The sequence below is a fragment of the Homo sapiens genome, chromosome 4, assembly GCF_000001405.40.
Source record: "Homo sapiens chromosome 4, GRCh38.p14 Primary Assembly".
In the NCBI taxonomy this organism is placed as follows: domain Eukaryota; kingdom Metazoa; phylum Chordata; class Mammalia; order Primates; family Hominidae; genus Homo; species Homo sapiens.
This window is the reverse complement of record NC_000004.12, coordinates 165,748,811-165,773,127: the sequence shown is the minus strand read 5'-3', so window position 1 is coordinate 165,773,127 and position 24,317 is coordinate 165,748,811. Positions and strand designations below refer to the sequence as shown.

Below are 24,317 nucleotides of genomic sequence, written 5' to 3'. Positions count from 1 at the left end.
CCAATAAACAGTATACAGAATATACGAGTAATTTATAAATGTACTGATTTTCTATAAATCAGTAAAATGCAGATAATGCCATAGAAAAAAAAATAGGAAGAAAATAACTACAGGCATTTCCCCAAAGAGGAAACAAGAATAGTGAAAAGGTATCTAACATCATTAATAATCAGGAAAATGCAAATTAATAGCAGAATGATATTTTATTTCATTTCCCTAGACAGACAAAAATCAAGAAGTTTAATAATACCAAGTATTGGTGAAGATATAAAAGCAACAGATTTAGGAAAAAAAAGAGAAGACTTCCCACTAAAATTGAAAGTGTTCAGGCCGGGCACGGTGGCTCACGCCAGTAATCCAGTACTTTGGGAGGCCGAGGCGGGTGGATTACTTGAGGTCAGCAGTTCAAGACCAGCCTGGTCAACAAGCTGGGCGTGGTGGCACAGGCCTGTAGTCCCAGCTACTCAGGAGGCTGAGGCAGGAGAATCGCTTGAACCCTGGCGGCAGAGGCTGCAGTGAGCCGAAACCGCGCCACTCCACTCCAGCCTGGGTGACAGAGCCAGACGCCGTCTCAAAAAAAAAAAAAAAAAAAAAAAAGTGTTGATAAACTATAACTCCACAATTCCTCCAGGGACTTACTTTAGAGACAGTTTTGTATATGTGCATCAGAAATAAAAGATTATTCACATAATCAGTTCAAGTATCAAAAACCTGAGTGATCTCAAATATCTACCAGTAGCAGAATGGATAAATAAATTACGGTATATGCATACAACAAATCATTGTAAGTCAGTTACATACAACAACGATGACTCTCAAAGATATGATGTTGAGTGAAAAAGTAAATTCCAGAAGGCTGTGTAACAACATTTTTAAATAATGGAAGAATACACAATATGGTATTCAGGGCTGTACACACATGTAATACAACTAAAATTGGTAGGGACGATGTCAAACATTCAGAATAATGGCTATACCTAGAAGGTGGGGCAGGGAAAACGGATAGGAACAGAGTGTAGAGTATTGGATATGTGCTGGTTCGTTTTGTCAATATGCCTTGTAAATCAAATCTATTTCACATGTATTTTTTGGACTTACAAAATATTGTGAAAATAATGGAAAAGAAGAAGGCTGGGCATGGTAGGTAGCTCATGCGTGTAATCCCAGTACTTTGGGAGGCCTAGGCTGGAAGATTGCTTGAGACTAGGAGTTTGAGACCAGCCTGGGCAACATAGAGAGATCCCATTTCTCCATTAAAAAAATTTAAAAATTAGCCAGGTGTGATGGGGCACACCTGTAGTCCTAGCTACTCAGGAGGCTGAGATGAGGGGATTGCTCAAGGCTACGGGTTTGAGCCTAGTGAGCTGTGATCACACCACTGCACTCCACCTTGGGAAACAGGGCAAGACCCTATTTCAAAAAAGAAAGAAAGAAAAAAGTTAAAAGACGAAAGTGGTAAGAGCTGATTAAATGGAGCCTAAAGAAGAATTTTAAACTGAGGGAATAAAAATAATGTTGAGTCACTATTTCTCTTTTTTGGGTTTCAAGAATATTTTATGGAATGACAGGGAAGGCAAATCAGATGTCATTATTTCTCCACATTACAACCCAGAATTCCAAAGATTAGATACTTTAAAGTTAAGTTGCATAAAAATTGTATTTATTGTTCATACTGATAACCGTTTTTCTTTACTATATTTATTTATTTATAAATATTAGAGGAAGGCTTTTTTGTGAAAAAATGCAAATAAAGAGTACCTACAAATTAAAAATCTACAAATGTGCATACACACACACAAATTATAAAATATTTATACAAAATATTTTAGAAAAGTTACCTCTTATTATTTTTTTTAAAGAGCTTATGTTTTTAAAGGTGATTTTAGTGTGGAAGATTTGAGGTTTCATTCTTAGATAACTTAGTCTGGGAGTTGATTCTACAGCTGCAGAATCAGTGAATCTTGGTGATCGCTTGTGCAGAGGTCAGGGCCAATTGTCATACCACGCCTCTCCTTCATCAGAAAATTGTTTGGGTTTCCGGAGTCTGATAGCTGACTTCTTTCTGTAGATGGATACAAATACCACCAAGTCCTTTCCTCATTCTTGCTTTCCTTATCACCCATCCACCCTTTTCCTATATATACACAAAACCACCCAGTGAAGATCCTGAGAAGTATTTGCAAGCAATTTGCAGGATTTTTGGTGTTTTGTTGTTGTTGTCCCTGTACGTTGTGACTCCTGTGAAAAAAATTTTTTTCCAGTTTTATTGAAGTATAGTTGACAAATAAAAATGTGTATTTCAAGTGTACAGGGCCAGGTGTGGTGGCTCACGCCTGTAATCCCAGGACTTTGGGAGGCCAAGGCAGTTGAATCACTTGAGGTCAGGAGTTCTAGACCAGCCTGGCCAACATGGTGAAATCTCATCTCCACAAAAAATACAAAAATTAGCCAAGTGTGGTGGTTCACGCCTGTAATCCCAGCTACTCTGGAGGCTGAAGCAAGAGAATCACTTGAATCCAGGAGACAGAGGTTGCAGTGAGCCAAGATCATGCCACTGCACTCCAGCTTGGGAGACAGAGTGACACTCCGTCTCAAAAATTAATAAATAAATAAATGTGTACGATGTAATGATTTGATCTCCATGTACATATATATAGAGAGAGAAATGATTACCACAATAAGTTTTATCACATTCATCACCTCACAGTTACCTGTTGCGTGTGTGAGAATGCTTAAGATCTACTCTCTTAGAAATTTCAAATACTCAGGATAGTAAGTGTAGTCACCATGCTGTAAATTAGATTCCCAGAACTTGTATTTCTTATAACTGAAAGCTTAAGACAACTGTGTCACCTGCCCAATACTTCCTAAAGTATTTGTTCTGAGGATCTGGGGCAGGTGGTCATTGCAGGATGCTTGCAATATTGCCCCGCTAAATTCCATGATGAACAGTCATTTATTCTGAATTTTCAAGGATATGGTCTATAAATTTTCTGATACAAAATGATACTAAGGATGATACAATTTAAGTTACCAGCCAGCATCTTTTCCATGCCACTTAAGAACCAGCTCAGAGAATGAGGCCTTTTGGCTTGAAATAGATCTAGAGGATGGGGGCCAGATGGAAGGGACAAGTCTAGGAATGGCACCAAGGTCAAGTTTCACCTATGTGGCAATTCTGTGAAAGTTCTCAGTGTTTTTATTCCAAGCTGAATTATTTCATCTCCTATTGTTATAACTGGAAAACAGAAAGGAGTGTATTCAAAAACTACCTCCAAAAGTTAGATTTGTAGATTAGGATGGAAAGTATAAGGTTTCTGAAAAAAAAGTTCCAAGAATTTCATAGGAGGGTCTAGGAGTCTTAGAGGGAAAAGTACTAGAATCAGAATAATAGTACCTTGTTGAGAACTTCCCAAATCAATTAATTGGTTCTAATTACTTCTAAAAATTAGGGAGAACTCCTGCACTACCTTATCTTAACTACTGTGAAGAAAAACAATATAAATGTTTTAAAGGGCACAGTTATTTAAAATGTTATCTTTCTGGTAACAAAAAATAATTGTGATAAGAGACCTAAGTTGTAAACTCAGAGGTTAAGGCCATTTATTTTTTTAATGCGTCAATATTCATTATTTTTATTTGTATTTTCTAAATGAATTCCTAAATATATTTCTAAGTATATTAGGTGATCACAGTCAGACTAAGGTTTTTTTCTTTTTCACTTTTATCTCCAGGAAAAGTCAAATTGTAATTTGAAATAACCATTCAACAGCTTGCTTTTTTTTTTTCAACTTTCTAGCTACAGTACTTGTTTCCAAGTACTAGTTGGTAAAGAGAGGAAAAATTGAAAAAATAAATAAATCCAAACAAGGGGTCTATGTAAAATGTCCTCTCTATATTTTGTTCTGATTTTAATGAGGCAATCATGAATCTGGGAACTTGAGGGGAATGCTGGGAACTTGCTGTAACAAACCAAGGTTAAGAAAATTCTGAGTAGCCAAATCAACATTATGATATAGGCAATTAGAATTTCTCAGCATGAAGTCTTAAAATACAAGACATGAATATGAATCAGAGGAGAAATGCATATTTTCAGAAAAATAGCAACTCCTCTGAAGGGGTAAGGAAATTATGGTAATAGTAAGAGAAAATAAAATGACCATTCATTCATTCACACATTTAACAAATACTAATGAACACATGTTGTTCCAGGCAGGAGATATAAAAATGTCTAAGGCATGACACTTGATTTTGATCTCTAATCTAATATGTGTGAAAATAAGATCAGATAAAATATATGTGGAAATAGTAGAACTAACAAATTGTGGGTGAAACCTGTGTGCCTTGTGTATGAATCTAAGTCCTTATGTACTCATGAGCAGTAAATATCCTTGCAAAGAATGTTACAGAGACAGGATATTTTTTTCTTCATGCTGAAAGTGTAAAATGATCAAAATTGCACATTTTATATTTCATAAAGGACAATATTACTCAACCAGAAAATATAAGCGGATCCTCCTAACCAAAACAAAGGGAGATGTTTAGCCCAAGTCCATCCTTTGATGAAATAATTGGTAATTGGGAATGGGGCAGTGAGTGGTGGCATACATCCCAGCTCTGAGGATTTAGAAACAGCTAGATCTCATGCAAGCTTCCTGGATCTGCCCTTATTTTTGATCATAGACCAATAAGGTAGAGAAAACCAACTGTGAAAAGATGGCCCTCATGTGATCCAGGAACAGGAAATGTCCCTCTTCCACTCTTCTTTCTCCTCACCGCAACCTCAACCTCAGTTGAAAATAAAACTTACAATTTGAAAACGTTATTTATTCATCTATTAAACAAATATTCGTGAAGCACTTAGCAATGGACCAAGAATAATTGTAAGCATTAGAAATATCACCGTGAACAAAATGGTCACAACACTTGCCTTCATGAAGATTACAGTCCAGTGTTGAATGTAATTTATCAAATATTTATTTAATTCTCTTGTGTTTTTTGTTATTTATAGGTTCTGAAAGAAGCATGACACTGTCTCTGTCTTCCAGGAGTTGACAGTTTGCAGAGACATATACATCAAATTTTAAAATGTAAGGCAAATTAAAAAATATAAGTGATTAAAGGCAAAACTAAATAAAATTAGGTGCCTGAATGTACAATTAAATAACAACTGAGCGTTTCTCAGTGATGGCTACTCTACTCAGCATGACACTCAGAGCACCAGCCAGGTAATGTCTTTTGTCAGACAGGTGGTGTCTTCCTCTGCCATCTGTCCCTGGAGTGCATATAACAGAGAGTCAGGGACCCTGGAACTTCCAAAGAGAAAGAAAAATCACACTAGTGTGGATAATTGCAAGAGAATCAGAAATTTCCATCTAGAAGCCAAAAGTAGTTCAACTGACATTCAATCAGTAAGGAAATAGAATAACTTGCTCCATTTAAAACATCAGCCAACCAAACATTAAATAAACAAAAAAGACAAAATAATCATATGAAAACTAATTTGAGGACAACAACGCAACTGATCAATTTTCTCTCCTATCTTAGTCCTGATCGGGGCTTATTCTGAACTCAAACGGAAAGTAGGAAATGTTTTCTTCAGACCGCCACTGCGTGTGAGTTGTTCTCTTTTCTTTTTATATTATAGTACAGTTTCCCTGGGTTAGGCTTGTTCAGAGAGCCCAGCCCAGGCACTGTCTCTCTGTGGAGAGCCCTTTCTTGCACCTGTCAAAATTATGTTAACCTACCCGTGTTCAAATCCAGTACTGTGATTTTGCCTATTGCCAATTAATTTGGAGCTGTTGATTAAGGATATTCTTTACTATGTGACTGCATAAAATGACTGGATCCTTTTTCTAGATTTTGTTTTTTTAATTTTTTGCTGCTATCAGTTGATTTCCTTGCTCATGAGAACAGCTCTCTCCTCGTGGAGCAGGAAACATGGTCTGGAGCTCACTTAAGTGGTAGCAATGACAACACCACAATAACAAAGCTTTTCAGAAATAAGCAGTTACTTATTTCTGCTGCTGCCTACTTCATCCCATTTCCCCCCATGTCGAAGAAGCTTCTACTTCCTTCTGTCATTCCAATCAAAACAGGTTGTATAGTGCTAATTACTGAGAGCTGGTTATCCTACTCCTTCACACCTTGACCGTTAAATAATTCTAATAATGTGATGAGCCTGAAGGGTGAGGATGATCGTCACACTTCCAAGCAGCTGTGCTAACTGTTCTCTCCCGACCTGGGACAGTTAATGTCTTCCTTTCTTGATATTTATGTCTTGGGATTTGTTTACCTTCTTTTATTTATTGATATGCTTATTTTCCCCCAACGTGCTCAAAATAATAACTCAGTTATGTTTTCAAAAATAAAAGACAAATAAGAAAGAAAAAAACAAGCTTATGAACACAAAGTCTGAAAGATATTGCATTATAGTTATAATAAATACACTTTGGACTTAAAAAAAATTAGTCAGTTTCCATTAACTAATCATCACACATAAATTAGTAGCTTTTCATGAGTTATCATATTACAAGGCTCATATTCGAATTTTAGTTGCCTCTACTCTGTGCAGCCTCAAAGACTGTATGCTGGACAGAGCATGCAAATTCTTGAATAAGGCATAACGTGCACAATAAGAAATTAATTTTTTTATTGATAAATCTTTAGACAATGCTATATATTGTTTAAAATGTACCTTGCTGATTTTTAACAAGAAACAAATCACAGAAAAATCTAATGTTGGGTTTAAAAAAAAAAGAAAAAAATAATATTTTGAAACAAAACAAAATAAAAATGACTTTATCTTCCAAAGCCAGAGTGCAGCGCTAGCGGCTGAGTGGCTGACCCTAGTTTTCAGTATATTCTCCGTTCTAAGGACATTGACAGGAAACGGTCAGCCTGGAGATACAATGAAAGGAAACCCAGCAGTGAAGGTTTCACTGATAACATGTGATTTGAAGTCAGTGAACAGACCTAGCGGTCATTCACTTGCTTAGGCCAAAGTGTATAATAATCCAAAGGCTCCATTAAGATCTTGTCACAAAAGCCCACGGAAGATGGTATTTGACTCAGGGGGCAGGGCAGAACATTTTCCTACTAATAAGTGTGTTGCAATAGCTGCTATCAATATGAAGGCATTATTTTACAGCACTGTGTTAATCTAACATATGCTTGACCTAAAAATGCATATGTTGTAAATAAAAGAGGCCTAATTTTTCAGGGGAGCTCCTTTAATAATAAAGCCTTGACTAACCAGAGCAAAACCCTCTTCTTATCTGCTATTACCTCTCTCCATCTATCCCTATTTTCCCCTTTACCTTGGGAGAATAAGCTACTCTTAGTAAACAAAATTACTGAATTTCAATATTTTATTTTCACCACTTTGGATAGAACTCTTCCTCTGATATAATGTCACTATCCTGTTTTGTTAAATGAAGTATGTCCTATGATCAATCACTTAACTCTTTCTAACATCAATGACTATTCTGAACTACATTCAAAAGCCCGCTTGTTCCTGAACTATGCACACTATGCAGGCCCCAACAGCTTAGATTTGTTGTTCTATCTTTCCATAGTATTTGTATTATCTTGTTATCAAGGTTGCCATCTAATAAAATGTGAAGGATTAAGAGTCTGAATCCTCAGATAGAAGTGTGCAAGCTATTGGTCACCTTTCTCAACATTTCTCGTTTCTTTCTTTGACTTTAGAAAGTTAATAAATGAATGTGTTAAATTATGGGTAGAAATAAGAGAAAATGAATGCTGTGGAGACTTGAGGACTCCCATTGAGTAAGTTTTCTTACTCAGATTCTTGTAACAGATTGCTGTTACTCAAATATCTCTTTGGCAGCTTTCCCAGTTTTCAATAGGTGAGTGTGGTGTAAAACAAATTGTAACAAGGTAGGGGTTTTTCCATCTGAGTTAGACCAAAGAGCTGCATTACCCAATGGAAATATAATGTGAGTCAAATATTAACTGTAAATTTTCTCCTAGAAACAATAAAAAGGTCAAAAGAAACAGGCAGAATTAATCTTAATGATATACTTTATTTAACTCAATAAATCCAAAATAGGGCCGGGCGTCATGGCTCACACCTGTAATCCCAGCACTTTGGGAGGCCGAGGCAGGTGGATCATGAGGTCAGGAGATTGAGACCATCCTGGCTAACACGGTGAAACCCCATCTCTACTAAAAATACAAAAAAATTAGCCTGGTGTGGTGGCGGGCGCCTGTAGTCCCAGCTACTTGGGAGGCTGAGGCAGGAGAATGGCGTGAACCCAGGAGGCAGAGCTTGCAGTGAGCCGAGATCTCACCAGTGCACTCCAGCCTTCCAGCCTGGGTGATAGAGCGAGACTCCATCTCAAAAACAAAAAATAAAAAATAAATCCAAAACAGTGTTATTTAAACATATATATTTTAAAATAATGAGACATTATTCATTTTTTTCATAATAAGTCTTTGAAATCTGGTGTATATCTTATAAGTACAGCATATCTCCATTTGGACTAACAACCTTTCAACTGCCCAGTAGTCACAGGTGCTAGTGGCTATTGTATTGGACTGCACAGGTACACAGGATTTTTTCTTTTAATTTTTATGTCCCTATGGATCAAACCAATGGCATTTTAAAAAGTTATATAATGAGGGATTTCATGGAAAGGTCTATTTAAACCGAACTTGTTTGCCGAGAATTTTAGGTGGAAAAATGTGTTCTGTTCACTTGGGGCAATAGAGTGTTGATTTTGCTGTTAAATTATGATCTCCTGAGTTTAGATTTTTCTGTGTGATAGTATCGGAAGTGGCTCTTCAAATTAGCACTTCATGATAATGTCAAAAGTATTCATGTAGAATGGCTGAACTCACTCTTTTTGGATATTAATTATAATTAAAGTGCATTTTCACATACAATTTATCTAACGAATCTTTGTCATTCATTTCCTTTGTGGCAGGCTGAGAGATGAAGAGTTGCAAAAACAGACAGTTTCTGCCCTCAGGGAGAATCCATTCAAATAAATGAGAGCGGTATGAATCAAACAATCAGGTAAATAGATGTAAAATCACAACGGTGAGAAGTACTGCAAAAAACTACACTGTCTCAGGAACATAAAAAGGAGGTTTGACCTAGTAGGCAAGGTCAGGGAAAACTTCCTTGAGGAAATGGTGCTTGAGCTGAGATCTAAGGGATGAATAAGCCTAACCAGGCAGAGAGGAACTGGGAAGGATACACTGTGAAGTTTGATATTAATCTTTAGTTTTGTTTCATGAAGAAACTATGGTTAGGAGAAAACTTTTCACTGTGCCCAAGAGAATAGTTCTCGCCCAGATTGAATTCTTGGCATTTCTTCCTGAGAGTCTCTCATGAGCCCAGCACTGTCTTTTCCTGTAACGTTGGTGCCAAGTTACCCTTGTCTCTGCTTAGACATTGAGTCCACTCCAGGACTGGATATGCCTTTGATTTCTCCTTTAAAATGTAATGTGTGGAATAAACATGAATAGGAATTTCAATATAATTAATTCATCAGCTGGTGTAAAAGCTTTTGAAACATATTAAAAATATTTGAAGATAAAGAACTCTTACAAATCAGGGTTTTTTTTTTGCTGTTTTTTGTTTTTTTTGAGACTGAGTCTCACTCTGTCACCAGGCTGGAGTGCAGTGGCGTGATCTCGGCTCACTGCAACATCTGCCTCCCTGGTTCAAGCGATTCTCCTGCCTCAGCCTCCTGAGCAGCTGGGACTACAGGTGGGCATCACCACACCTAGCTAAGTTTTGTATTTTTAGTAGAGACGGGATTTCACCACACTGACCAGGATGGTCTCGATCTCTTGACCTCGTGATCCATCTGCCTTGGAGTCCCAAAGTGTTGGGATTACAGGCATGAACAAATCAGTTTTTAAAAAAGCAATTCAATAAATAAAATGGGCAAAAGACAAAAACAGGCAATTCACAGAAGATGCACAAATGACAAGAGCACATGAAGCAGTTATCAAAGAAATAAACAATAAAGCTTAAATATTTGTTTAGCTTGACTTACTGACAAAGACAATAAAGAACATTGCATGTCTCTAAGGAAACAGTAACTCTAAGACACTGCTGGTAGAAGAATAATTTGCAGCAACTTTACTGGAGGGCAATTAGTCAATACACATTTAAAAACTCAGAGTTTTAAATGTGACCTAGAAATTCCACTCTTGGAATTTGTCCTGAGAGACTAATAAGAGAAGTGAGAAAAAAATGTATAAATTTAGAGCTATGATAGCTATAAAGTGGAACCCACCTAAATATCCAATAAGAAGGGAATGGTTAAAAAATATATTATGTTAATAACAGTAAATATATTGCAAAATGTGACATACATGTGCATTTATTCATAGTGAAGTATATTCACAGTATTCTTGTAAGTGAAAAGCACAACAGAATAGAAAGCAACATGAAGAATATGATTCCATCTTTTATACAGACTCACACAATTTATGAATATCCTTACATTAGAACAATTTGGAAAATATAGCAGATTTTTAACATGCAATGGTGTAATTAATTATGTATAATTCATTTTATTTTTACTTATCTAAAATTTCTACTTTTTGTAGAAATGTTTTCTTATACTTAAGAAATACATTGTTTTTATAACAATTCTTCCTCTTAAGAAAAATTTTGAATAAAAGACTTTTAAAAAAGAAAAAAATATATATTACCTATTATGTTACCATCCAATGACAACTGCATTAATGGGAAGTATTTCCCTTCAGTATTTTTAAGGATAACCAATTTTTTAAAACATACTTAACTGGGCTTCTGAGACCAGTATTAAGCCTTGCCTGAGGGACAAGGTTTTACAGAGAATTTTCTAGTATCCAATTACAGGGTTTTTCCATAATAGGAGAATAACAGTTTATAATTAGATTGACACTTTAAGCTCTGTCCAGATACCCTTGTGAAAGGAGACACCATCTCTCCTCATTCTTGGCGTGCTCAATTCAATCAGATGTGGTTTTTCTAAGTCAATGATTCTCCTTAGGAATTTTGGCTGAATTGGGTAAAGTGCCCTATTAATAATTACACAAGACAGTCCTGTAAATACCCAGAAGTCTTATAGAATAGTTAGCAATAAGAATATAGTTATTAGTAGTCCTATTAAAGAATCACTGTACCAGTGGCTAAGACTCTGGAGCCAGATTGCTTGGGTTCAAACCCTAGCTCTGACACTTTCTAGCTACGTAATATAAGGTTTTTTTTTTTCTTTTAACTTTCTCTGCCTTAATTTCCTCTTCGGTAAAATTGGAAAAATAAAAGCATTTACTTCATAAATTCTTGGGAGAATTAATTGAGTTAATATAGGTAAAACACTTATAGTGGTGCTAGGCACAAAACAGAAATACCCAAGAAGTGTTAGTTTCTATTATGATTCAGAAATCATACCTACTTGGAAATGATATTGGATGCGCAGTGGTTGAAGGGTGAGGAAATGTGATTTGTGATCTCATCAGTACAATTCATTGAACAAATGTGTGCCCTCCATGAATATAAGATGTTCTGTACATATTATCACACTAATCTTTACAATCACACTCTAAAGTAAATGCTATTTCCAGCTGAAGGCAGTGGCTCACGCCTGAAATCCCAGCACTTTAGGAGGCCGAGGTGGGTGGATCACCTGAGGTCAGGAGTTTGAGACCAGCCTGGCCAACATGGAGAAACCCTGTCTCTACTAAAAATACAAAAATTAGCCAGGCATGGTGGCAGGTGCCTGTAGTTGCAGCTACTCAGGAGGCTGAGACAGGAGGATTGCTTGAACCTGGGCGGTGGAGGTTTCAGTGAGCCGAGATCACGCCACTGCACTCCAGCCTGGGTGACATAGTGAGACTCCATCTCAAAAGAGAAAAAAAAAGTAAATGCTATTTCTGTCTTCAGGATTATAAAACCGGGGTTCCTACAGTTAAGTAACTTGTTGAAGTCACACATAGTTAAGAAAAAGTAGAACAGGAAAGAGGGGAGGCGTTCTCTTGGTTTGCACCTTTCCTTTGTTAGAGGAATTTCTGAATTAGGAAAACTCCAAAGGCAGAAATAAAGATGCCATAATTTTTTTTCACAATTTACCCCTTCCTTCAATAACAGAGAGTTTCTTTTCATTAATTCAGCAATACCTATGGAGCACCTGCCATGGGTCGGGCACTGCTCTAAGAACTGGAGCTACTGTGTCCCTGAAGAGTCTATTTTCTAGCTAGAGACAGGCAATAAGTAAGGCTGTGCCAGTTAAGTTATTGCCTCTCACCTCCAAACCAGCCTTCTATACTCAGTTTTGCTGTGGTGGCTCTGGGACTCTGCAGACCACTGGATCCAGCACAGTTAAAAGTGAGAAAGCCCACTGTTGATGGTAACAATGAGCAGGAGGCCCCCATGGTGGGCAGTGTCTCATCCTGCCTGCAGCAGGCAGTGGCACATGTGGGAAAAGCCCCATAGGCCCTGTGGAGGGCTGGGAACATTCTCCCCCATCCCTACCAGTCTTGGGTATCTGTTCTGTGGGGCACCTTAGCCAAGGTGGCCCTTGCCCACTGAGCAAAGGATAGGCTCCTACTCAGCCCTGCGGAAGCAGGGAGCTCCCCGTCACCCCTAACCCACTCTTGATTTTCCAGAAGCCCTAGGAGCTGACGAAGGAGAAGGTAGGCATCCAGATGGGCCAAGCACAGCCTGAAAAGACCTGCTGTTAAGAGTGCAGGGAGGGGCCAGGAGTTTCTGCTGTGATAGCTGGTTCCCTGTTAGGCTCTGCCTAGAGGAGATGCTTCAGGGAGTGTTGAGCTCTACAGGAAAAGGGAGTGACGGAACTCCTTCCTTTGTGCTTTCTATCTACTTCTTACGTAGCATCCAGAGATGCTTCTTTCACCCTACAAATGGCAGCGCCCTGCCAGAGCAGTGGGTGGATGCAGTTTGCAGTTGTTCCCACGCTTAAGAGAACCAGCTTCAGCACACAACACCTCAGAAACATCAGCCTCAGCCAGGGGGCTGACTTTTCAGAGGTCTGGGCTACGGGTCCACAGGGATCCTCCATGAAGGTGCTAAGTTTCAACTTCAATCTCTTCCTTTTTCTCTCCCAGCTCCAGGAGCTCCCTGCAGTCTGTACCTCTGTGATACCTTAGAGTTCTCTTGTGACCTTTTCTTACATGTTCAGTTACTTGATTAGCAATACTGTTTTCAGTAAGTGAACGTATCACCAGTTACCTAAGTTATTATCCTGTTGTTGAACAGCTAGCTATTTTAAATTTTTTACTTCCAAATCCTGCTGCTGTAAAGATTGTGCATCAAACCTTTTTTTCAGGATTTAGGATCCATCTTTTTCAAAAAGAGTTTCCCAGGAGTAGAATTACCAGGTTAGGGAATGTGGCTGCTTTATTACTTTTTCTATATATTTATATACCACACACATATGCCTAAAATGCATTATTTAGCGTTTCTATATGTTTTTGCCACTCATTTTCTCCAAGTAGTATAAGGGAATGTTTATATGATTTTTCACAATCAGTCGGTTCTTAATAAAACTGTATTTTAAATCCTATCTTGCTTTTGTTTAATTTACTAGCACTGAATTGCTAACGTGCTCTAGCACATTTTTATGTTTATAATGTAAATTTTGAGATTAGGAGTTAATTTGATTTTCAATAATTCACTGTTTTTCTAATGTTCGATGTCAATAGTATAATGATTTTAGACTTTAAGTCATGTTCATGATGGGAATGTGTAAGACTCTGGATGTTTTCATTCCTTCTAGCTCTCAGAACCCCATAGAGCAATAGTCATAATTTAAGCATGCTTCCTTAACAGTCTCAAGATACCTACAGGAAGTGATTCCTGTAGAGGAATAACATAGATTTTTACTAAATTCTAGTTCATTTTTCACTGCTATTATATAGTCTCTGATCTGGGGTGGATACTTTTCGATTTTCAACTGTCACCTTCGCTTTATCTTAATTTTGTTTTTTCCATTACATTTTTATTCAACCAAGGATACTCTTTAAACCATTAGTGGGACTTTTTAAAAAAATATGTGGGGTAATAGTTTGGAGGGTTCAATAGATTCTATTCTTAAAAGTAGAGAAACCCTTTCTGGAAGAGTGACAAAAACAGCAAGTTTTGTTGTCCAATCCATTCATCCTTTCTTTTTCAATAACAAATCCCCAGTCTCAGCCCTGCAATGATGAGCCATCCCGGAATCTACTGTTGCCATGTCCCCTGGAACTAGGATGTCCAGTGAAATGTAGATAGAACAATTATTGGGTGGGACTTCTGAAAAAACCTTTTTGCTTTTCTTTCCTTTTCTTCTGCATCCTAACAGAAAATGATGCAGAAGATGGCTGGAGCTCTGAAAACTACCCTGGGCCCTGAAAATGGAAACCATGTGTGTGCTGGGAATGGCAGAGCAGAAAGGAACGTGTAGTTCCCTAAGAAATAGTATATACACAATATATATAATATATATAGCGTGGTTTCCTCAACCTGAGCTGCCTGCTTTCAGATTTCTTTAACATGAGACAAAGCTACATGTCTCTTGTTTAGGCTATAACTACTGGTAGCCAAATATATTTCTTAACAACATCTCTTCAGTGATGAAAGAGTATTGTCACATGTTTAGACATAAACTAGATTTATTATCATTTTGTCACTCCACTTTAATTGGTTTACAAAAATACAATGGAATAAATTTACCATAAACAAATGTCTGACACTTCATGAAAAAGAACAATTAGATAGACTAAGTTTTTTGAATTTTTAGAGTTTACCGTAACATCTTTGGGTAACATCTGCAAAAGCAATCACCAAATGTTTGTGAAATGGGGATAAGAGAAATACCTACTTTGCCAGATAATATTTATGTAAGCACTCAGTAAACCTGAGAGGAACATATAAGTATTGGCTCTGATCCAACCAGATGGATCACATGAAGCCAAACTTAAATCATAAGGGCTAAAAATAATTACATTAAAGATAAACCAGTGAAAGTCATTCTGAGATTAAAAAGTAAGTATATTCTTACATGTTTCGGCAGCATGGTATTTCAAACAAGTTTCCTTGTTTGAAACTTGTTTGAACTGTTTTGAGCTGTATTTTTTTTTACAACCCTGCTATTAGAAGTGGAGGATTTATTTTCTTCATCAGAGGCATATTTTGTAAAGATTACACTGTCAATACTGACCCATGTTAAGAAAAGTTTGTGTGAAAATAAAGCATATTCAGCCTCATAGAGCTGCATGCTGTGCTGTGAGGACAGCAGGGAAGTTTTACAAAAAGTAACTTCACTCACATTTCTGAATATATTTTAAAAAAAGGTTTGGTTTCACTAACGTCAACCTGTACTCCAGCTGTTTGTGCATATTTTTGTGTGTCTCTACATTTTCCTTGGAGATTAAGATGGCCTCAAAAGGAAATCACCCTTTCCAAAACAGGCAATTTGCTTTTCAATACGTTGCATAACAGATGCTCCAAAGGAAGAAAGGTAGAGAAGCCTGAGCTGGAGGAAAACACAGTCGTGCAATGTTTTAGGACCCCAGACCTGCAAGGGAGAAGCTGAAGGTAGGAAATGAACATGCATGCATTTATATTCAAATGTATTATTTGAAGCAAGACAGTAATTTCTATGTTGTAAAAAAAAAAAATCCAGCCTTGTTTTGAGAATTATCAAAACCCTTCCCTTCAACTTAGCTTGAACCATTACACACATACACACACTCAAATGTCTATGGCTATCAGCCCAATTCATTGTATAGAACACCAAATTTGACATAATTGATAAATCTGGGTGTTCTGGGTGTTCATTCTTTGCATTGAATCTGAAGACTTGCATTTAGCTTTAAAATTTCCATTAATGTGTTGATAGAGTTGCTTCATATATTTTTTCTGTGTCCAATTTTTAAACTAATTATAACAAACAATTTCAGTACCTACCCCATGCAAAGCCTTCTGTGGGGCACAAAGTAAGTAAAACCTTGACCTCCAGGCTGTTACAATTCACTAAGAGAAGGCACACACATCCAACCACTAGCTTGGCATAAGCAAAGCTCAAGCAATACAGTAGTTCAGAGTAAAGAAAAACAACCAGGCAGGCAGGCTCATTTGTTGCCCGGATTCCTGCTGCATCTTATTGTTCCATCAGACTACATCAATCTGTTCATTTCTACAAGTATACAGCTTTTACAGGGAGCAAAGAAATAGGTTTTGGACAGACAAAAAAGGGGACATATTATTCTATTTTGGAGGTAAGACAAGGGTTGATGGAAATTTTGTTAAACAATGATCCCCTTTAGACTTTTAATCTACTATGCAAAATATAAAATATACATCTCTGTTTTACGATTTAGGCAACTTTTGTTTTCATGAATGCTTAAGTGAGATTTTATTATGTCTTATTCCCAAAGAATTTTCCAAAAGAATGAATATTCAATTTATTATAAGCTTTGAAATAAAAACCTAGACTTTAACATATATATCGATTCACAGGCAACATTTTGAAAGCATAACTTTTGTGTTAAGATAGGCATATTTTCATCTTGTGTCTACATACAAAAGATCAGATTTTGAATGATCCACTTGATTTTTATAGTATCAAAGCCAAATTAGGTAATGAGAGACTTTGCAAAGATTTCTTTAAAAGATCACTAAAAACACAAGTCAAGTGAAAAACTGTTGAATAACTGTCATAGGTAGAAATCCTCACTATTAAATGATTAAGGAAACCCTGAATGAATAGAGTTTACTTAAATAAGTCAATATTAGCTATACAGCCATGACTGAGGTGAAGAGGCAGGGACAGAATGTAGTCTAATGTATAATTATTTTATTTAAATTACTATACCAGCAGCATTGCAAATGGATAGGCAGAGACAAGAATGAATTAAGGGAGAGCAGTTAGTAGACTCCTGGATGTGTCCAGGTGAGTGTTGTCTAGGATGAGGGTTGTATTAGTATATTCACTAATTCAAAAAATATTTGTTTAATTTCAAATATTTGCCAGGCACTGTTCTGTCACTGGAATTCCGCCATGAGCAAAACAAATAAAAGTCTCTATCTTGTGGAACTCACATTCTACTGGAGAAGACATACAATAAGATCAATACATAAAATATATAGTATATTGGCCCAGTGCGGTGGCTCATGCCTGTAATCCCAGAACTTTGGTAGGCTGAGGTGGGCAGATTACCTGAGGCCAGGAGTTCGAGACCAGCCTGGCCAACATGGCGAAACCCCATCTCTACCTAAAAATACAAAAATTAGGGCAAGCACGGTGGCTCACACCTGTAATCCCAGCACTTTGGGAGGCCGAGGCGGGCGGATCACCTGAGGTCATGAGTTCAAGATGAGCCTGATGAATATGGTGAAACTCCATCTCTACTAAAAATACAAAAATTAGCCAGCCATGGTGGCGCGCACCTGTAGTCCCAGCTGCTCACGAGGCTGAGACAGGAGAATCGCTTGAAACCAGGAGGTGGAGGTTGCAGTGAGCTGAGATCACACCATCGCACTCCTGCCTGGGCAACAGAGCAAGACTCTGTCTTTAAAAAAGAAAAAAAAATATATATATATATATATATATATAAAATAAAATAAATAAAAATATATGCATATATATAGTATATTATAGGATGATAAGTACATATGGAAAAAAGAAAGCAGGGAAAAGGGAAATAAGATGCCACTGTGAGGTGAAACTGTAGGAGGAAAATCTAAGGAGGGCCTCGCTGAGAGAGTAATGATTGAATGGAAGGAAATGAGGGAGTGAGCCATGAAGATCTCAGGGAAGAGCGTTTCAGGCAGAATGAACACTGAGTGCGAAGGGTGTGAGATGAGAACATGCCTAGTGTGTTCAAGAAGGATCAAGGCGTCTCTATGGCAGGAGCAGGAGGAGTGAGATGAAATTGAGAGTGACAAGGGACTGGGTTATGTAGTAACTATAGATCACTACAGGATTTTAGCTTTTATTCTGGGTGAGATGGCGAGTCTGTGCCAGCTACTGACCTATTAGCTCTTGGTTCCAAAGCACCCTTCAGTACTCTTCTTTATGATGACTCTGTAAACTACATTTTCCCATTAGTCAAATGATTTCCCGTTAAGTTTTGCCGATAGAAGGCAAGGAAAAGAGAGAAGGGACTTACACATTTCTGTTTTTCCTGTATTGGTCAGTAGCAGTTAAAAGCTTCAACCTTCCTTGAGAGCTTCCAGAACCAGTTCTCTGGTGAGATGCCAGGTAGCAGCGATAGCCATTTAGGATCCGTTCTCAGAGGTCTGTGTACCAACTCCATGGTGCTTCTTTGTTAGCCCTCTGGGTTCTGTCCTTGGTCCTAAAGATGTAGAGATGCCAGCCTCTTTAGTTTTTAATATCCAGGTTACTGAAATGTTCCATTTTTGTTCTTTAGCTCTCAAACACCTATGTTACTAATTCTCTGCTTAAATGCCCTTTGTTCCAAATCCTTAAGGTGGTTTCTATTTTCCTGATGGTTACAGTGTCAGGTACTGGGAATGATGCCAGAAAACCCTCAAAGATGGGATTATGGAAATGTTTAAGATACGTCCTTGACCTTGAACTTAATGTTAAGTTCTTGATCAGTAGAAAATGAGGATGCTGACATGGCATGCAATATTTAATTAAATTATTACCTGGGATTGCTTGGGATAAAATGCTTATGTAAATGAGTATCTTGGGGGATAAAATGACTGCTGCAGGTGATAGATATGGTGGTAATAATGACTGTGATGACTTTTGGGTAGAATGCCTATTTCTGACAGTGCTGGAGACTATACAAAAGGAAAATGACTCAAGAATTTAATAATCTCAAAGCTTCTCTTGTGATCCTAGAAGAATCTTTTATTTTGTACAAATGTATTTATTTTAGTTTGTATATAGCAGGGCAAATATGTGTGAAAACCAAATTCAACATTTAACTATTTAGGTCAGTTATGGAATTACAATGAAAGGGGCATTCACAGACTTTGCAAGTGTCCTAAGTGAAAATTAAGACTGATTGGAAAGAAATAGGGATATCTGATGGAACATAAAGTTGAAAACCTTGAATCCACTCTGAGCATTCCTTTCAACGAGATGCTTATTCTCCTCAAGACTTACCACCTCTACTGTGTCTAGGCCTATACCGCTAAAGCAATCTAAGTAACAGGGCCAAGTGAAAAATCCAGTGTAAGAAGAAATAAGTTATACTCCAAAAGAATTGCTGTATTTTTCTAAATCATATTGACATGAACCTAGGGGATATATGTGATTATAGCATATGTATAATAATATCATGTTAGACCAAAAAGAATGGAATGTGACATTGTAGCACATAAAATTTCTCAGGTATACTTCTTTCAGATTTAATATGATAGGTTGAGCAGACTAAAATTGTTCTAACAATTGTTTAATTTACTGGATTCAATGGTGGCCTTCTTGCAGGAAGGTTGGATGAGAATTTTCCTGGCCTGGTGTCAAAAATGGCTTAGGGATGTAGGAATGTTAGAGTGGACTTTACTCGTGAAACTTGCACACCCACCACCCCTCTCTATTTGTTTAGAGGGCCCAGAAGACATCCCTTTTTCTAGAGCGTGTGCCAGTATCTTTGTAAAGCTCAATGGCAGTCATCCTCTGAAGGGTAAAGATGGCAAGGGCAGATGCTATTATTGAAAAAGGATCCCTAATTTCAATGTATATCATGGGATCGCAGAGTAGTGAAGTCAAGAAGTAATACTCACTTCAATAAGTAAGAGTTATGTAATTTCTGTGAAGATAGCGAGGAAGAATTAGAAATCAGAATTGACCTGCAGAGACCTTTGTCTATGCTCACTTAATTCCTTAGAAATGAAATGACTTAGGAGGAAAATAGATAAGCAGATTTCTAAAGTGTTACTTAATCAGCATAATAAGAGAACTCTATGTTTGATGGGCAGAAATCGGACTTGAGTATTCACAATTTCTCATCTACTTCCCGAACCTAAAGGCGTTCACAGACTTGGAGTTCTTTGATCAAAAGGAAGACTGGGTCCTTTTGAGAAAGTACTCTTCAACACTGCCACAACTGAATACTGTAAAAGTTTTCTAGATCTTCCTGAGACATGCCTGCCTGCATTTGATAGGTGACCGTACACTAGACCAAATCAATGCTTCTAGGGACTCAAAAATCATTTTGGATCACTGCTCAAAAAGTGGGTACCTATGGAATCAAGTAAAAATCCATGTCACAGTGGTCAATTGAAGGGTAAAATGTAATGGAAAAAGGAAAGCTATGTATGTCTTCTTTCTTGATTATGTATACATGTAGCATATTGCAAAATAGCAATCTTTGCAGTACCTCCCTTCAAGAGGTGTAATCTATTTTTCAATGTCTTGAATTTGGATGCCTTTGTGATTTGCTTTAGCCAGTAGAATATAAGTGACATTGTGTGCGTTCTAAGCTTGCTTCTCAAGAGACTTTGTATCCTCCTCCTCTCTCTCTTGGAACCCTGCAACTTCCATGGAGAAAAGCCTGTGCCCACCATCTGGAGAAGGAAAAACCATGTGGAATAGAGACAAGCTGTTATAGCCAAGGCCCCAGGCACGTGAGAGGGTCCAAAGACCAGCACAGTCAGCCCAGCAGCTGACCATGGACTCACCAGTGAGTCTAAGTGAAGCCATAGGAATCACGGATTTTTTTCATCCTTTATTTCATCCCTTATTACTTCATGTAAGGATTGTTGATGTGATTGCAACTGAAAAAGAGGATTTATCACCACTCCCAGATGGGGCATAGTAAATGTTAGGACTTTGAGTCTCTTATATGTGGAAGAAAGTACGAATGACTTCATTTATGTAAAAGAGAGTTGCATCCTGCTAGGTGGAAGCATGAAGTTGTTAACTGTTGTTGCATGGAAGTTAAAATACATGGAGAGGAGCGATTAGGAGTGCTGAGAAACCAAAGAAGGTGACTCTGTGATGCTGGGAGGACTCTGAAAATTACATTTTCCAGTTACCCTTGCCAGCAAGCTTCCTTTTAGGTTCCATCTGCAGGATGCATAGAGAGAAGAGCAGAAGGAACTTCCTTCCTGTTTTTCCTGTCTTTGACGGCATTGCTAGATCCAGCCTCCCATGAGTTGTGGCATTTCCAGCACAGCGCTGTGGCACACTCTCGGAGGAATCAGCAGCTCTAGGGCAGTGGCTATTTTCCTAGAAGTATAGAACCAGCTCTGCAGAGCCCCTCTTCTAAGCTCCTAGATTCTGGTAACCCCACCCCTTCCCTTTTGTTTCAACAACCAGCAGTATCAGCTGTTGCCTGAGTTTTTAAATCTCTGTGTTACCCTTTTTCTCTTTCAGGCACCCAACATCTGTGGAAAACACCTCTTAGACTGAGATATCCAGTGTGGCTCCTATTTTCCTGGCTAGACTCTAACTGATACGAAGTCATGGAGGGTTTTGAGATCTCAAAAGATTTGTCTTGCATTCTGATAGCATCAACCTGGCTGTTGTGTCGGAATTGACTGAGGGATCGACCAGCTAGGAGGCTATTTCAATCAAAATAGATGGGGATAAAGAAGTGGTTACATTCTGTATATATTTTGAAGGTATTAATGATGGGATTTGTAGACATTCAGGTGTGAGTTTCAAGGAAAGAATAAAAAAGTATGAACTGTTATCTAGGAGAGTAGGAGACTGATTAGAAGACTCTAGTGTTCATGCTGGGAAACAATTAAGATCAGTGATTATGAATTTAAAAGTTAGACCAATTAGCAGCTGAGTTTGCATAGCTCTACAGTGGTTTTGTTAAGGTAATGCTAGCTGCTGTGACAGATAAATCCTGAAATCTTGTAACCTAATACAACAGAAATTTCTATTCTAGTAACATAAAGCCTAATAGGTAATGGGACATAATGAGGATGAACTCCTAGATTATACAACTGAGTCTTTCAGTGATCTTGGCCAGTAGAAACTCAACACATGTTTTTCAAGTTTGTCCTGGGAATTGATACCCCGTTGGAAAATTGAGGATGGGAGAAAATGCAAGATTTCCATAAATTTTATTTATGCCAGTCCTAGAAGTAGTATGCATCATTTCTACTCACATTGTCTTGGCTAAAATTCAATGTCATGGCTGCACCTTAGGTGAACAGAACCCAGGAAACATCATTTAGCCTTGTACCAAAAAGGAAAGGAAAATACGTTTGGTGAACTGTTTTAGCCAATCTCTGTGAAAAGGAGAGATAATCTGTGTTGATGCAAGCAGAGACTAGGCAAATAATTTAAAAAGGTTGTTGCTTTGCCAAAAGTACCACAAAAGTGAGAGAAAGCAAAGGGGTTCAGAGCAGTTTCAAAGAATAATTAGAAGGACTGCCATGAATTTAAGCTGGGTAAGGAGAAAGGAGAGGACATGAGGAGAGAAAAGAGTTATTAGGATTGATGTGCTGGGGCACCAGATTGGTGAAATAATTGTTAGAGTTCTATTCTAGTAAGCATTGGCAGGCAAAGAGGAGGTGTCAGCTGGAGAATGTGATGCTTGAAACTGAAAATTTGGAGGAACTTCAGGGCTGCCATTGACAAAGATGACAGCATGACCCTGAATGTTAGCGTCTGGGATAGGGTACAAGAAAGATCACTGGGAGACAGACTGCCAAGGAATTTAGAGTCCAAGATATCGACAGATAATCTACACAGATATCACATGTTGAAAAGAGTGATAGTGTTTCAGGTGCTGAAATCTTTGAGGAATGAGGAAATGTGAAAATAAGAACAGTGAATGACTTAGAAAGCTGTTAGTGGGTAAAACAGCAAGACTTGGTGATTGGTTATTGGCAGTGAAGATGAAGGAAGTGACGAGAGTCAATCCCAGTTTTCTCACTTACGTGAATGGGTGGATAGTCTAGCCATTTGTAGGAGAGGAGCACTCTAGGGTGTCCATCTTTAGGAGAGGAATGATGAGTTTATTTTTGGATATATGGATTTTAAAATTTCTCTCTCTCAAATATCCAAATGGAGATTTTGAGAAGATTCTTTGAAATCGAAAGGTCTAGGACTCAGAGAAAAAAAATGGCAGTGAGATATATATATTTAAGGTTATTGGAAAATAAATAGTATATAAAACCAAGTATTGGTAATATTGTCTAGGGTGCTAACAGGAAGCAGGGCTGGACCTTAAGACATGTAGAAAGAAAGAAGTCACAAAGAGAACACTCTTATCTGTCCAACCTACCATATTAAATCTGGAACAAGTGCACCTGCGTTGATTAATTTGGTCTGATCCAATGTTGTGTTTTATGCTCCTTGGTTTAACACCCTACTAATTGATTCCCATGTAGCTCCCCTAGGTTTATGCCAATATAATTTAGAATAATATTGCTATCTTTGGAGTATAACCTGTTTCTTCCTAGCTTGGATTATTCACTTGTCTCTCTTGAAATGGACTCAGATTTCTCTAGCTATAGGTCTAGACACAATAAGGGCGATAGGAATAGGCCTTAAAGAAAATAAGCAGCCCATTGAAAGAATGCTTAAAGTAGATTCACAATTTTCACTTTTATGCATGTGTACCTAAGTATTTCTATCTCTTCATAATCAATGCCCTAATTTTCCACTTAGGAAACTTGGAAAGTCTGTGAATACCTCTTACACGGTAATTCTATACTAACCCAGATACTTAAATGTTGAGTTTAATTTTTAGCCATATCTACCCTGGTGCATACAAACAAAAATAAATTCGTATGTACAAAAGCAAGAGATTTTTTAGGATCACGGAGAGGCTTTCTATTTCAGTTGACATTATTAAACCCCTGAGCATATCATTTTCCTTTTGTATGTTCTCCAGTGCAGTCATAAATAGTCATTCTACCAAAATGAACAGAGTGTGAAGTTTGGGAAACTAAGAATAGAGTTATTCAAGAAGGAGGGAGTGTGTCAATAAAATTAAAGTGACATTATTGAGAATGTAGTAGGTATCAGGCTATGTTCAAAGAACTTCACAAATATTTATTGTATTCTTATGCCAGTCCTAGGAAAAGGTACTATTATTGCAGGTATTTCTCTTTTACGTGGAAGAAAACAGAGGAACAAAGAAATTTTAATTAATTGCTTGAGATCCTAGCTAGTACTGGGCAGATCCAGCAAGCCATCCCAGGCCGTCTGACTCCAGAGTCCAGTTTTAACTACTACTTTATATTAACTTCTAACCCAAAGGGATCAGCACTACTCAGAGAAAACCAGGCCAAGGAATAGAAAACTGCTTTTTGGATTGAGTGGCAGGGAGGTCATTGTTGATGGTAGTAAGAGATTTGTCAGTGGAGCATGTAAGTACATAGTACTTAAGTTCATAAGGCAGAC

General features: G+C 37.7%; 1 long non-coding RNA gene across 1 annotated transcript in view; it reads right to left on the bottom strand.

Annotated features, from left to right (window-relative positions):
* Positions 1-10,349: 10,349 nt before the first annotated feature.
* LINC01179 (long intergenic non-protein coding RNA 1179) overlaps positions 10,350-24,317 on the bottom strand; it is a 78,140-nt gene continuing 64,172 nt past the window's right edge. The window contains exons 5-6 of the long non-coding RNA NR_121676.1: positions 18,142-18,327; positions 10,350-11,872 (exon numbers count right to left, since the gene is read on the bottom strand). This is a non-coding gene — a long non-coding RNA (long intergenic non-protein coding RNA 1179). The remainder of the gene's footprint in view (positions 11,873-18,141; positions 18,328-24,317) is intronic.